General features: G+C 36.9%; 1 long non-coding RNA gene across 3 annotated transcripts in view; it reads right to left on the reverse strand.

Annotated features, from left to right (window-relative positions):
* Window positions 1–16,046, reverse strand: part of LOC105374235 (uncharacterized) — a 221,596-nt gene that overhangs the window by 157,587 nt on the left and 47,963 nt on the right. The window contains exon 3 of one of the 3 annotated variants that reach the window (NR_188691.1): window positions 10,482–14,138. The exons of the other annotated variants lie outside the window; for them this stretch is intronic. This is a non-coding gene — a long non-coding RNA (uncharacterized LOC105374235). Of the gene's footprint in view, window positions 1–10,481; window positions 14,139–16,046 lie in introns of those variants that run through there. 3 annotated transcript variants of the gene reach the window in all.

Consider the following 16,046-nt stretch of genomic DNA (forward strand, 5'->3'; position numbering starts at 1 on the left):
TGTGTGTCTTTCACGACACAACTCCCTCTCCCATTCTTTTTTCTTAGAAGAAAAAGAAAAAAAAAGAAAAAACATTAGCAGATGATAATGAAAACATCTTGCATTTGCATGTAATCTATTGTTTAGATAAATATATCCACCTTTAAGCCAAAGTAAGTGCTATTATTTTCATTTAGAAGAATCAACAGAAACACAGAGAAAATGAGTGGTTTGCCCAAATCAAGCAATTAGAAAGTACATTTGAACTGGGTCTCTGTCTTATCAATGATGAAGGGATCATTTACACAGTAATGCAATTGCCTATCTGGATGTGTCATTTATATGGACTCAGAAAAAATATCGAGGTTAGGAATAATAAGTATCTAGCTTTGGGTCTTATCTATGCTTGGATTTAGGGGTTTGGAAATAAAACACACAGTCTGGCCCTCCAGGTTCACAGTGCAGTAGGGGCACTGGCCTAGTTAACCAATGCTTGCCTGCCATACAATGTGGTAAAACACTGAATAGGACATCAAATTTATACTTGGAGCTTTAGAGGGCTGAAGTCAGGGGAGGCTTTGCAGAAATGTGTATGTGCTACCCAGGCAGAAAAGGATAGTGGAGCAGGGGGCAGACAGTGAAGAAAGTGCTAGGGAGGTTCTACAAACAAATAGTGTGTGAGTGACTGGAGTTTAGAATGCTTGTCATAAATACTGGGCCTTTCACATAGCAAGATACACAACAATCGAATATTTGAACATCCAGGTGGAAAAGTTTATTGGCAGCTGGATATGAGAGTCTGACGCTCAGGGTTGAGGATGAGGTGTAAATACAAAAGCCATTGAGCCTCAATTTTTTATTGCATTTTTCTCTCTCCATTTCGAATATTTTAGTTTCTCTGAAGTGACTGAAAACACAGCAGTGCAAATGACAACCATTTCTAGACAGAGTCACTAGGGTGTCTGCAGTTTGAAGAAAGAAAGCTTTGTGAAATGTTGTATCTTTGAGCTAGGAGTTTGTCTATCTGCAATTATTGCTTTAAGGACATAAGTATAAGTTAGACAATTATGATCTAGAGGAAGGAGGATAGGGAAGAGAGTAAGAAACAAGGGAAACAAAGTTAAGGTGGAGCAAAGCCCACCTAGTGAGTGCTCAATAAGTTTTACAGAAATGCAGAAGTGAATGTAATCGTTTGTTCCTAATAAGTAGTGCCCAACAAGTTTCACAGAAGCTCAGAAGAGACTCAGGGGTCAGGTGTTGCTGTTCCATTGTTTTTAAATGAAGTGTTTGCTCAAGGTACTTCTAGAAATTTATTTTTAAGGCTTAACACTATCAGAAAACATTTCAAAAAGTGGTAAAAATTACAATTACTTTTTTAAATATAAGAAAAAACCTTTCAAAGTAGAGAAAATATTACGGTTGACCATTCCACTGCTCTAAACCAAAAATGAAGTTATAAAGCTTCTCAGTAACCTGTGTTTCACATCCCACACATCACCCAGTAAACTATTTTCTGAAGAAACAGGAGAATATTACAGAATAAAAAACCTTAGAAATGTGAAATAACTATGTGTGAATGTTGAGGGACACTCAGAAGAGCAAAACCCAGTGGATGTTAAAGAAAACATAATGGGTTTAATTATATTTAAAAGGCCTATTCTATTGCTATATACACTAGAGGAGCGTGAATATTTATTCTCTCCACTAGATATTACCATAATTTTAGGTAAGACAAAAATAACTCAGATATGGATTTTTCTATTATTGGAAATATATTGTGTTGGCATATCCTCACGTATTATCTTTAAATCCTCACCAAACACTGTGTAGTGGATATTATCAGTTCCATTTTAAAGTCCAGGAAAAACTCAGAAAGGTGAATTGTTTTATCAAAGTCCTAGCATATGTTAGAGTCCAGATTTGATTCCAGGCCACTGACTCAATATCCACCTGGTTACTGCCTACTTGTGTACAACCTGCAAGCCTATGAATTATGAATTCTTTTTCTATACAGTTAAAGAATTCAAAAGAGGAATAAATTTTGCAACATATTGAAATTATATAAAATTCAAATTTCGGTGTTCATAAATAAAGTTTTTTAGAACACAGCTACTCTCATTTTTTATATATTGTCAATACCTGCTTTTGCACAAGGGCAGAGTTGAGTAGTTGTGACAGATAACAAACAATACACAAAAGAAACAATGTAAATAACCATTTCAAGGCTCAACCAAATGTAAGGCTCAATAAATGCAACATTGTTAGTCTTTTATTTTTCAAGAAAATACTTGGACTATCATGATAATGACAAAAAAGAGATTCCACACCCAAAACTTAGTCATATGTTGTTATAGGAGGTAAGTACCTCCCAAAAGACCCATAGACAAAAATATAGCTTTTTTTTTTTTTTTTTTTGAGACGGAGTCTCGCTCTGTCACCCAAGCTGGAGTGCAGTGGGTGATCTCTGCTCACTGCAACCTCCACTCCCAGGTTCAAGCGATTGTCCTGCCTCAGCCTCCTGAGTAGCTGCGATTACAGGCACCCACCACCACGCCCGGCTAATTTTTGTACTTTTAGTAGAGATGGGGTTTCATTATGTTGGTCAGGCTGGTCTCGAACCCCTGATCTCGTGATCTGCCTGCCTTGGCTTCCCAAAGTGCTGGGATTACAGGTGTGAGCCACCACGCCCTGCCAAAAATACAGCATTTCTTATATTAAGAGAGTAGACTAGACTGATTCACTATAGCTATATTTTATGACATTATACCAATCAAACATTCAGAGTCTTAATTTCTCCAAGAAAAAAACTGTGATGCCTGGTCCAAACTTGAATAAGCACACGGAAACATAAAGACTCAGATTAGTTGCAAACATTAAAATCTTAGAACTCTTTTTATTTACTGCTATATATATATAAAATATATTAGTTTTACAAACATTTATAATTTTATGCTCAAGTATTGCTTTAGGCAAGGTGCCAGTTTATGGAATGCCTGCTGTCCCATGCTAAGGAGTTTGGTTTTATCTGATGGTGATGGGGAGCTACTGAAGACTTTCAAATATAAGATCAATATGTGGGTTATCATAAATAAAGTGTCAGGTGATGAACAGTAGTCCAAGAAGACTACCAGTGTATAGACAGAAGGAGAATAAAATGACACCAAAGAAAGGGGATTAGGAAGTTCAAGATAAATGATTTAATTGCCGTGGCAAGTGCAACGAAAAGTCCTATAAATCAAGGATTTAAAAATATCCATGGATTGGTCATTTAGAAGGTTATCGGTGACTCAGCAAGGCAAGGTTCAGAGGAGTGGTAAGGCCAAACATTAGACTGAAATAAACTGAAGAGTGAATTAGAAGAAATTATAGACTGTTCTTGTCAGAGATTTGGAGGAACAGAGCAGAGAGATCGAACAGTTGCTTAATCAAGACGCAAACACAGTATTTGTTTGTTTGTTTGTTTCTTTTCCCTTTTTGGGGTAAGAAATGTTCAAACATGTTTATTGGCTGAGGAGAATGAACGGGTGGGGAGGTGAGGGTGGATTGGCTGAGGAGAATGAACAGGGGTGGGGAGGTGAGAGTGGGGGAAAATGAAAGATATTAGTTGAAGAAGCAGAATATCTAATGGAGCAAATCTTGGCAGGAGTGAGAGGAGATGTGGCCTCAGACATGGTCAGGGTTTGGATTTAAACAAAAAGTGAGGCATCCTTTCTTCTGGTACTGAGAGGAAGGCAATGAATTTGATGGCAGATATAAACTAGCTTGTGGAGTTACATGTAAGAAAGATTTGGAGGATATTATAGCTATGACCTTGGTTTTCTAGATGAAAGAGGCAAGGTAATTAGCTAAGCATGAAAAGGTAGGGGTTGAATATGGATTTTAATAGACCAGTGATTTTTTATAAAGTGTAGATACCCCAAATGTAGAGACAGGTATTTCCTTTCTTTATTTTCCTATCACTGTCATTTAAGCATGATAGAAGCACTTCTAGAATCTGCATATAAATATTTGTTCCCACTCTATCTGATACTTCATGATGGCTTTCTTTTGTTTTGCATTTTTCTTGTATTATTTCCAACATTCTACTGGTTATATATTGTTGTTCCCCAGATTAGATAACTTTGAAGAAATATTTTGTGCCCCTAATTCATCTACCAACCTCAATCATTGTTTAATTCTCCCTGGACTTTCTGTTTTGGATTATCTTCATTTTACAAGTACTTTTCTGTGGTTAGAGATTTCTTTTTTTCTGTTTTATGTGAGATTTGTTTTAAGGACTTTGTTTTTAAGATCTTATCATGGAAGAAAAAAGATTTTCATTTTTAACGTTATACTGGCCTCTAGAGTAGAAAATGTTGAATATCACCAACAAAGGAAAACAGCATGATAACTGGCATGGAAAAGATTTGTTTTTAAAACTCCATTCATTCTCATTAGGGGAGTACTCATTTAGAGGAGCATTCTTTTACTTGAATACATAATTAAAATAAATAATTGTATTTTCATATACGGCATCACGGGAAAAAATGTGAAGAGACTATATAGTCTTAGCCACAGTATAATATTTTTGGAACAAGATGGGCTGAGAAGGCATAACATTCTATTTCACATTTACATCATGATCTTTCTCTAAAGGAAGTCAAGGTCTTAAATAAAACACAGAAGAAAAATTGTCCAATTTTTTTTTAGACATATCAAGAAAGGTAGAAAGGTGGGGAGTTATGAAGGTCAAAAGGCATCAAGATTGAATAAGAAAGAGAGTCAGGGAGTGACAAATTAGATAGGAGAACATTTTTTTGCCACCATTCCTCCCTATTCCACAGCTTATTAGTAAACAATTAAAGATCCAGAAGGCTGTCTATAATTTGCAACTTGAATTTCCTGAATTCCAGTTCAGCATCTTCATTGCATAATATAGCTTCTCCTACTAGGAAGATAAGTGATAGAAGAACCACCAAGTTTCTCACTGACCATGAGTGGTGGTCCTAATCACAAGGAAAAGGGACACCAGACATGGAACTTGAGCTTCATGGTGCTCTGTGAAAACATCACTTTAAGGTACTAGCACCAGTCACAAGCTTTCTGAATTCAGCTGCCAGATAAAGACCCCTTTCCTAGAAAGCCACCAGGTCATAAAGAGATTATAGAAGTGTCTGATAGAGTACTTCTATACCAGATGCCTCTGGAATAGAGCAGAAAATTCCAAGTATATTTAGCTGACAGGGTCAGAACATGTCATCTTAGTATACCAAGCACGTTCACATACTCTTCTAATTTAGGTTTCTCAACCATCCAGGAAAAAAAGCATAGATATCCCTTTTTTTTAAACAAATAAATGTTCAGGGGAGTTAAATAATATAGGCTTCACACTGATGTGAAATAGCAAAACTGGCATCTGAACTCATGTTGTCTCATTTTAAGCCCTATTTCCCACCCTTCCTTCAGCACTGAGTATTCCTCATTGACTTCACCTCTTCACTACTTGGGCAAGGCTTATGATTAATGATGGTTTGTATGGTAGGAAGTTTTTCTTTCATAAACAACTTTCATATTTACTGGGTTTGAAACTAGCCTTTAGAAGAACTCCTAAACCACTGGGTTATAAATTGGTCTTGATGAGATAAAGGAATGATTACCAGTATTAAGTCATTTCCCATAGGTATACCCCAAGGCTGTTCCAGAAGCTTGGCAGTAGGCAGCTAACCTTTGAAAATGATGTCAGACTCAAAATGAGGCGTAATTTTGAAGTATATTTCACTTAAATAGAACCCTAGACTGAGCGTCCTCTTTCTGTCTCTCCAACCATAAAATGCCATGCCATTCATATCCATGCACCGAGGTTGTTGTCTATCATACATACATGTATATTTTGGAATCATTTATTTGCATCTTCAGATTAGGCAGCTATGGATGCAGGACCATATCAGGCATGACCAGAAGTGGGTGATGTGTTTATTTTGACTCTCCATTTATACTTTCTATCCTTTTCTTTCATATTAATACCACCTAAGTTCTTAATAATAAACAATGCATTCTAATCTTGACCTCCAAAAGATAATCTCACAGAAGTTTCAATTTACAGTAAAATGTAAATGGCAGACAAAAACATCAGCTTCTACTCACTCCAGAAGAATATATATTTTACAAGTATCAAGTCTTTTACACAAAATAGGAAAAAATCCATCGTAGTGATTGTGGATTTTCCTACAAAGATGACAAATCTTATTGCCATCTTCTACAATGTAGCCTCTTTCCCATTATCCCAACAAGGAGCAAAAACTCTATTCCCAAAAAAATGTCCAGAAGGAGAAAAAGTTTGTTTACTAAACTAAGAGTTAGAAGGAAGAGAAAGATAAGAAACCTCCATTCATCCCCTATGACTTTAGGAAAAAAAGAGAGCAACTTCATGTGTATTGAGTTTCCATTACATATTATTCACTATAATAACTCTCTTTTATGTACTATCTGATTTATTTCATATCACTCAAGAGTTTCTTAAAACTCATGATAGAGGTAATTCATTACCACTGTAATTTTTAAGAAACACGCAGTTTTGAATGTCAGAGTTGAAAGTGGAACTCAAGATTTTTAAGCCAACTGCATTTTCACCAGCGCCACCTGTATATGAACTAGTAGGTATTTCTGTTGATACTCTTGGATCTAAAAAACTTTCTCAGCACTACCTCCCAGTGTACTGTCTCTAGATTCAAACTGCGTGGGCTCAATCTCAGCTATACCATTAACTAGCAGTGTGACTGTAGTCCAGCTATTTAACTCTGCTGAGCTCAATTTCCTTATTTGCCAGAAAGATATGATAATAGTACCTACATTGTTAGGATTATTGTGAAGATTAATTGAACTAAACTACATGAAATGCCTAGCACAGCGGCTCAATAGCTGTTCAGATATTATTGCCATTACTGACTAGGTCAGAGGTGGTCATTTTTGCTTCTTGCATGTCAGCTCTGATTGAGCATTTCGGGAACATTGTGCTGAGAAGAATTCAGAGAAGACCTCTGTAGAGAGAGTACTGTGCCTGATTTGTCCCTAAGAGCAGGATGGGCCTAAGGGAACCAAGTGTGCAGCAAATAGGCTATTCTGGACCTAGGTGAAAGCCAACTCGCCTATGGGCCTTGCACAAAATGGTGCTTTAAAAAATGAATGAATGTTTAATGAAGTAAATAAATATGTGAATTAAGGAATCAACTTAAGGCCTACCCAGTGTGGGTCTATATATTAGCTGAATTTAATGTCAAATTTTGAGTCCACTTTCTCAGCTTTTTAGTCATCGCTCAAAATAGGTGCTTTCTTTAAAACTTCAGGGGATCTCAGAGGAAAGACATTAAAAGGCATTGAAAATATGCAGCATCTTTCTTGGTAGATAATGTAATAAGACAAAAGGACTTCTATCTCTAAGAGCCTATGACTCTAGGATTGGAGTATGTCCCAGTTGGAGTTGTCCAAGTTTGTGGCATGTTGGATATGACATTGAACAAAGAAGCAGAGACATGTAGTTCAAATTTAGAACCAGTAAACATATGGTTGTCCACAGTAAGTTCAGGTTGGAGTACTGAGTTTTCAATATAAAAATGAAAACTATCTTTCCCGGCTTTTGAGCTCTGTCCTTCACCTCTGAAATGTTGCCAGGTTAGTTTCAGAAGCAGGCATACATTTCTAAAAAGAGAAAAAAGATCTTTACCACAAAAATAAATAACTTTCAGACTTATGATGTAAAGACCTTAGATGAAGTGACTTGAGAAAATAAGGGAAGTTAGAAAAGTCTCATGAACAACTTTGGAGAAAAAATAGACTGCAGCTTTAGTTGCTCTTTTTACTTCTTCTTCTGAGACTAGGAAATACCAAATTATTTCATCTTTATTATTATTCCTTGTACTGTATCTATATACCTTGAAAAGAGGTGCCATGGTACAGGCTGAGGCTCAAGAGAAAAATGCAAAAAAATAAAGGGGGATGGGAATGACCTGTCTTGAAAAAGACTACACTTATACTGTTGAAATTGAACCCGAATACAAAGGATTAAATAATGCCTTTTGTATTATTACGAGCCTCTTAAAACAGAAAATTATGAGCCATATTTTATTATTAATTGAGAAGAGCGTCTAGCAGGGCTCAATGACTATCTTCTTTCATTTGTGATGCTATAATAAAGCACCACAGACTGGGTAATTTATAAACAATAGAAATTCTCACAGTTCTGGAGGCTGGAAAGTTCAAGACCACAGAGTCTGTATCTGGTGAGAGCCCTCTTGCTGAGTCCTTGTGTGGCAGGTGGTGGAAAAGCAAGAGAGGATAAACACTGTGTCCTCACATGGCAGAAGGGCAGAGGAGAGAGATGCCACTCGCACAACCCCTTTTAATAAAGGCATTAATCAGTTCATAAGAGAAGAATCCTCATGACCTAAACACTTTCTGAAGGACCCCACCTTCCAACATTGTTGCTTTGGAAATTAAGTTTCCAACACATGAATTTTGGACAACACATTAGGACTGTAGCAAAGAGTACCTTGGAGCCAAAAAGATCCAAAACTCATTTTTCAGAGAATATATATGGCACAAGTTATCTGTAGAGCATACTTTGGGAACTACTGGCATATTGCTGCATGGCTATGACGTTAAATGTTTAATGATATATGAGTATAAGACAACCACTTGTACACATTTTTATGGCTTACAATGCAATATTATGTGTTTTTATGCATTTAACTCTCCAAATTACCCTGTGAGGTCAGTATAACAATATTCACTTCAAAGATGTAGAAAGAAAAACCCACAGAGGTGAAATAACTTTCCCAAAGTCTCATAAGTAATTACAGGCAAAACCAGGACTCAGGGTTAGAGCTTTGGCTTTAAGTCTTATGCTGTTTCCAGTAGTAACAGCAGTAAACTAAACTGGAAAAGGTTTTGGCATATATATCAACTTTTCTTAGGAATATAACTATGTTATGGGCCCAGACTCATTAATCTCTCAATATTTCAGAGAAGTCGATAAGAAATTGTTGTATTCCCATTTTGCAGCAGTTGTTTTTCTGTTTCCCTTCAAACAGACTCCAAACAATATTTGCTATTCCTTAAATAATGCAGTCTACAGAACCAATTAAATGGAGCAATCCTTTTGCTCACTGCTGTGGATTAAGCTGAAAGCCTCTGAGTGCCTGAAACAAGCAGTGTCCACATTGCTGCCTTACATTGAAGTTATCAACATTTACCTACTGAAGGGATGCAGCTCTGGCCTGCTTTAATTGCTTTAAGTCAAATCCTGCCTCTGTTGTCATAGTTCTCCGGGAGAATACAGATCCCTAGGCTAAGGTTTAAATGATTTTAATAAGAACAACAACTGCAAACCTTTAAAGATCAACAACAAGGTGAAGATTTTTAGGAAAGTAAACCCAAACAAAATTGGTCCAAAAATATTTGAGAAGTCTGCAACTGATGACTATGGGTGTAACAAAAACTGGTCAGATTGATTTTTTGTGTATATTTGGGCAAGCTGCTTCACATCTTTGGACCTAGTTTATCCTTCTTAAAAAGAAGGCTATTGAATATATATTTAAAACAAAGTTTCTAATATCATCTTGCCGAACTATAAGTGTAAGGGAAAGCATTTTTTGTGCCTAATAAATGTCAGGGCCTTCTTTTATGCATTTCTTAATACTTGGGCTAATCATTTAAGGCTTTTGACACTGAATTTGAGCCTCTGTTTTAATATGCATATGGGTTTTGTCCCCATCAGAAACTGGATGTACTAAAACACTGCACATTGACTGGGGGGCGGGTACAGTTTTCAGAGGTGGTGATGATACCTTTTTCATTCTTATTTTCAAAATAGAGACTGTAGCCTTCAAAAATATTTTGTAATCCCTCAGTGCTTTCCTTCTAAGATTCTTTGGGTCTCTGAAAGCCATGAGTGTTTGTATCTAAATAAGAATCTGGAGCTAGCCTAGAGATTCTGAAGCTTAAGGAATCAGTTTTCTTCTTTTGGGACTGTAAGGGAACAGGGAGACCAGCAAACCTTTTGCAGAATGTTCTCTTCCCCTGATAGTGGAAAAAAAGAAAAAAAAAGGGCAGAAAAATCAGCAACATGATAATGAAATCTCAACAATGACCTTTAGGAAATGTTAAAGGGATAGTGGCAGTGACTGTGGAAAGGATTAGTTTTGAACAGGGTTAATTTTCCCTCCAAATCATACTTTGAAACATGAAGTGAAAGCAGTAAGTTTTGTGATCACAAAATAAAAATTGCCAAGAGCATATCATTCAAGGCTAAAAGTGCTGAGAACAGGAGAAAGTTTGAAATAGAATTATGTGTTTCTCAGATGTCAAGTACATAAGCTTCCATATGATCACAGACACAGTGCCATTTCAAAATGCTCCTAAAATGGATTCTATATTATTTTCCAAATTTAGAATTTGATATTTTTGCTAATTAAACAATGAGGTTGTATGTGAAAATTAAAAAAAAAAGACAGCTATGATTACAGGTCTTGCTGTGGCACTTTAAGTATATTTAATTCACTTTTCTTACAACAATTTAATAAATTAGGAAATATTTCAAAATGTAAATATAGGTTTTATCAATTTGCAAAGTGATTGCTTTGGTGGTGATAGATTCTTCTTAAACATCAAGTCATGACATCTATCTCATTCCTGACTGAAGTTCCTGGTCTATTTTGGTGAATGTACTATGTGTATTTAGGGTGGAAAAGTATATTCTGGAGTTGTTGGATTCTTGTTCTACAAATGCCAACTAGATCAAGATGGCAAATAGTGTTGTTTAGATCCTATAATGTTTACTAATATATTTTTGTAGTTGTTTGAAAATATTATTTTTATTACTCAAAAAGATCCCGTAAGATGAAAACAAAAATACCATGATATTAAAAGTCTTCACTGAAACCACATTTGGCAAAATGTCTACTTAAATTACATAGATTTACATAATTTTAATAATAATCATCAAAGAGTTTAACACTGAATTCACTTTACTCATTTTTCCTACAAATATATTTTGTATAGTTTCTTTTTTTTTCTTTTTGTAACTTTCATTTTAGGTTCAGAGGTACATGCACAGGCTTATTATAGGTAAATTGCATGTTACAGGGATTTGCTGCACAGATTATTTTTTCACCAAGGTAATAAGCATAGTGCTCAATAGATAGTTTTTCAATCCTCACTCTCCTCCCATTCTCAAGTAGGCCTCAGGGTCTGTTATTTTCTTCTTTGTGTCCATGTGTATTCAGTGTTTAGCTTCCACTTATAAGTGACAACATGCAGTATTTGGTTTTCTGTCCTGATTAGTTTGCTCAGGATTATGACCTCCAGCACCAACCATGTCACCACAAAGGACATGAATACATTCTTTTTTATGGTTGTGTGTTTCTCGTTTGCTTGGTTGATTTTCTCTATCTCTTTATTTTGAGCCTATCCATGTTGTTTCATGTGAGATGGATCTCTTGAAGACAGCACACAAATGAATTTTGCTTCTTTATCCAGCTTGCGATGTTGTGCCTTTTAATTGATGCATTTAGCCCATTGCCATTTAAGGTTAATATTGATAGTGCAGATTTAATCCTGTCATCATGTTTTTAGCTGGTATTATACATACTTGATGTGTAGTTGCTTTATAGTATCAATGGTCTATGTACTTAAGTGTGTTTTTGTGGTTGCTGATAATGATCTTTCCTTTCCATGTTTTGTACTCCCTTCACAACCTCATGTAAGGCATATCTGATGGTAATTCTTTCAGTATTTGCTTATCTGAAAAGGATCTTATTTCTCCTTTGCTTATGAAGCTTAGTTTGGCTGAATACAAAATTCTTATTTGGATTTTATTTTCTTTAAAAATACTGAATCTAAGCCCCCAGTCTCTTCTGGCTTGTAGGATTTCTGCTGAAAGGTCTGCTGTTAGCTTGATGGGGTTGCCTTTGTAAGCAACCTGTCCCTTCTCTTTAGCTGCCTTTAACATTTTTTCTTTCATTTCAACCTCAGAGAATCAGGTGACTCTGTGTCTTAGGAATGATCATCTTGTATAATATCTTGCAGGCGTTCTCTTCATTTCCTGGATTTGAATATTGGACTCTCTAGCGAGGTTGGGGAATTTTTCATTGACAATATCTTGAAATATGTTTTCTAAGTTGCGTGCTTTCTCTCCCTCATTTTCAAGGATGCCAATGCATCAGAAATTTGATCTCTTTACATAATCTCATGTTTCTTGGAGGTTTTGTTTATTCTTTTTATATCCTTTTTTCTTTATTTTTGTCTGACCAAGTTAACTTTGGAGAACTGGTCTTCAAGATCTGAGAGTCCTTCGTCAGCATGGTCTACTCTGCTGTTAATACTTGCAATTGTATTGTGAAATTCTCAAAGTGAGTTTTTCAGCTCTGTCACTCTATCACATCAGTTTGGTTCTTTCTTAAAATGGCCATTTCATCTTTCAGCTCCTGTATTGCATTATTGTATTCCTTAGCTTCCTAGGATTGGGTTTCAATCTTCTCCCAAATCTTGATCATCTTTCCTATCCATATTCTGAAGTCTATATCTGTCATTTCTGTCTTTTCAGCCTAGTTAAGAACCACCACTGAGGAAATGGAGTGATCGTTTGGAGGTAAAAAGACACTCTGGCTTTTTGAATTGCCAGAGTTTTTTGCACTGGTTCTTTCTCATCTTTGATATTACTGTCCTTTGGATGGGGATTTTGGCTTTTATCTTCTTTGATGCCCTGGGAGTTAGATTGTGGCATATGATGGGTTCAGTCAACTGGCTTCATTTATTTCTGGAAGATTTTAGAAAGCCAAGGCTCAGCTCTACACTGCTGGGCTGCATGTTTTAACTCTGGGAGGCTGGTACTGGGCCCCCAGCCTTGTTCTCTGGCCCCTCAAGGTTAGGAAGCTGCTGCACTGGAGAGACTGAGGTGTTCTTGTCCACTGGCCACCACACTCTGATGGGGAGGGGTGCTGGTCAAAGCATGTCACTGGAGTAGTGGCAGTGGGATCCATGCTGGCTCATGCATACCAGCAGCCACAGCAATGTGGCAAGGTGCACACATGTTGGCTTGCACAGAGCAACTGTGGGAGCAGGGAGGTGGTGTTCCTGCACATGTTTATGCCAGTGATGACAGCACAGCAAGGGCAGTACACTAGCAGAGATGGAGTTGCTGGTGTCCATGTATGCATTCACACCGGCAGCATTGGTGGCGGTGGTAGCAGGGGTTGGGGGGAGAACAGTGTTGCCAGCATCTGTGCACACATTAGTGCTGGCACAGGAGTGAACCTGCATGTTAATGGCAGGGGGAAGCAACAAGGTGGACTCATACAAGCACAGCGATGGAGAATGGCCATGAGCAAATGCATGTCAGTAAAGCATTACGGGAGGGCTGTGATAGGGTGAAGCTGTGCGTGGGCTGGTTCATGTAAGTGGGGCCTGGTCTGCTGGAGTTCTCTGATAATCAGGCACAGTCTGCCATTGAAGGAGCTAAGTCTGCCATTGAAGGAGCTATGATGAGGGTTCCTAGAAGCACCCCTGTTGGGTATCCAAGGCTGCACTTCAAGCAAGCACGACCAGACTGGCTCCCCAAGAGAGGCCAGCAGGTAACAGAGCATCAGATCAGGCATCAGGCCGCATCCCACGAGCAAGACTGCCCTGCTTTGTCTAGCTCTAACAGTCATATTGAGGCTAAAGTATCCTGGAGAAGCACAGTGAGCCTTGGAGGATGGCCGTCCCTGGATGTGCTTCACTGCAGCTGTTCTCCCACCACTCTGGGCTCTGCATAGGCTGGAGTCCTGCCCATATGACCTCTCTGAGCAGCTTTTCCTACCATCTCAGATGCCCATAGAGGTTGAGGGACCTACCAGAATGGGTCCATGGTGAGAGCAGGCCACTCCTCACCTGTAAACTCACCCTTCCCCCAGGAGTCTCTGAGGGCCAGGTACAAGTCCTGAGGCTCAGCCACACTATGCAGGGTTTCCAGCTTCCTCTCTCTTCAGCCCAGCATCTGCATCCTCTCTGCATCCACTCTTAATGTCTTCCATCAGAAGATCTACTCAGAGGTGTGTTATAGTCTTTCCAATGTCCCAGTCTCTCAGTGGGAGATATTTCTCCTGGCCACATCTAGTCAGCAATCTTGGCAATTCTCCATGGTTCTACTGACAAAACAAACAAACAACAACAACTATATATATATATATATATATATATATATATATATATATATATACGTATATATATATATATATATATGTATATTAGTTTCTAAGGGAGAGATTTTAAAATGATTGTCCAATTATTTATTTCTTCCTTTAATCCTGTTTTTGCTTTATATGTTTTAAGGTTTGTTATTAGGTGTATACATATTCATGATTATCATATGTTCCAAATCGATTAGCCTATTAACATTATAAAATAATGTTCTTTATATTATTAATGCTTATGTTAGTAATACTTTGTCTTCAAGTCTATTTTATCTGATATTAATATAGTTTCACTAGTCTTCTTATACTCACATTTTCTTATTGCATGATATATCTTTTTCTATCAATTACTTTTAACTTGTTTCTTTATATTAATGTGCTTCTCTTTGTGATAGAATAGTTTCATCTTCCTTTATTTCTAATAATCTCTGCCTTTTAATCAGAGTGTTTTTAATCAATATTTAATGGCATTATTGATTAGGTTAAATTTAGGTCTACCATTTTATTATTTGTTCACTGTGTATAACATTTCTCCCTCTTTCCCCATTCTTGTCTTCTTTTATTTGTAGTGTTTTAGAATTTAGCTTTTTAACTATGTCTATTTGCATTTTTTCTTTTTAAGCGGTTGCTCTAGGGATTTCTATGTGCACCCTATTTTTCTCAGTCTACTTAGAGTATTAATATTTAGAAACCTTGCAAAATAGTGAGTTCATTTATCCACACACTCTCCACTATGCTTTATGTAATTTTAACATCTGGGTTATCTCTAATTTGTCATCTGTTGTTTGCCTTTTTCTTTGCAATAAAGCCACATTTTTCTCACACACACATATGAGTAATTTTAGATTGTCTCCCGGAAGTTGTGAATGTTATGTTGTATAGACTCTATTGTATTATATTGTTTTAAGGAGTATTGTTTTGTTTCAGCAGGCAATTCACTTAGAATCATATTGTCAATTCTCATGCCTGTGGTGGGTGGTAGCTCAGATATCAGATCAATTCTTAAATTTTTAGATGTACACAATTTTCAGTTTGTGTCATAAACAACAGGTTCAAGAGTCAGCCAGTGACAGGCTGAGTTAAACCAGGAGACTTGGGGTTCACCTTCTCTGTGCCTCAGCTTTCTGAGTACCTTCCTTTATTCTCTGGTAGCCTTGGCTGTTTGATCTCCCTTGATGGCCAGAAGGACCGGGTTCTCTATCACAGATTTGCATTTGTTTTTGCTTTCAAGGCAATGCCTATGGCCACTGTCAGAGAAAAGTCACAAAATCCAGGGAACTCATTTTATGCCAGTCACTTGCTACAAGTTTCTACTCCAATCCCAAATCTACCACCACTGTTCAACCCCTAGAGTCCTCTGTTAGATTCTATTGTTGCAGATTTGTTTTTCAAATTTTATAGCTGTTATTTATAGAAGAAATTGGCCTTTTAGGCACCCACTCTTCCAAGCCAGAAGGCCAAATTCTCATTAATTTCTTTGTTTCCCTTCCTCTTGAAGGAAGGGCCTGAGAATCATTTAACTCCAGTTATCCACTTCCAAAAGCATACGCTGCTAAGTCTTACATTTTAATTATCTTGATGTTTTAAACTCCACATTACATCATTCTTATTGTGTTATGCTTTCAATATTAATTCAGCTCCACAATACATCTTTCTTATTGTTTTATACTTTCAATATTAGTTCACCTTTACTTTTCTATGTACTTTTCTTGATTCACTACACTTCTTTCTATATTTCTGAGCTCTATCTTAGCTTATTTTCTTCTGCCTGAAAAAAAATTATTAGCATTTTCTTCAGTGATGGTACACTGAAAAATTTTCTCATTTTGTTTGTCAGAAAGTGTCTTTATTTTACTCTCACTC

This window comes from Homo sapiens, chromosome 3, assembly GCF_000001405.40.
Source record: "Homo sapiens chromosome 3, GRCh38.p14 Primary Assembly".
In the NCBI taxonomy this organism is placed as follows: Eukaryota; Metazoa; Chordata; class Mammalia; order Primates; family Hominidae; genus Homo; species Homo sapiens.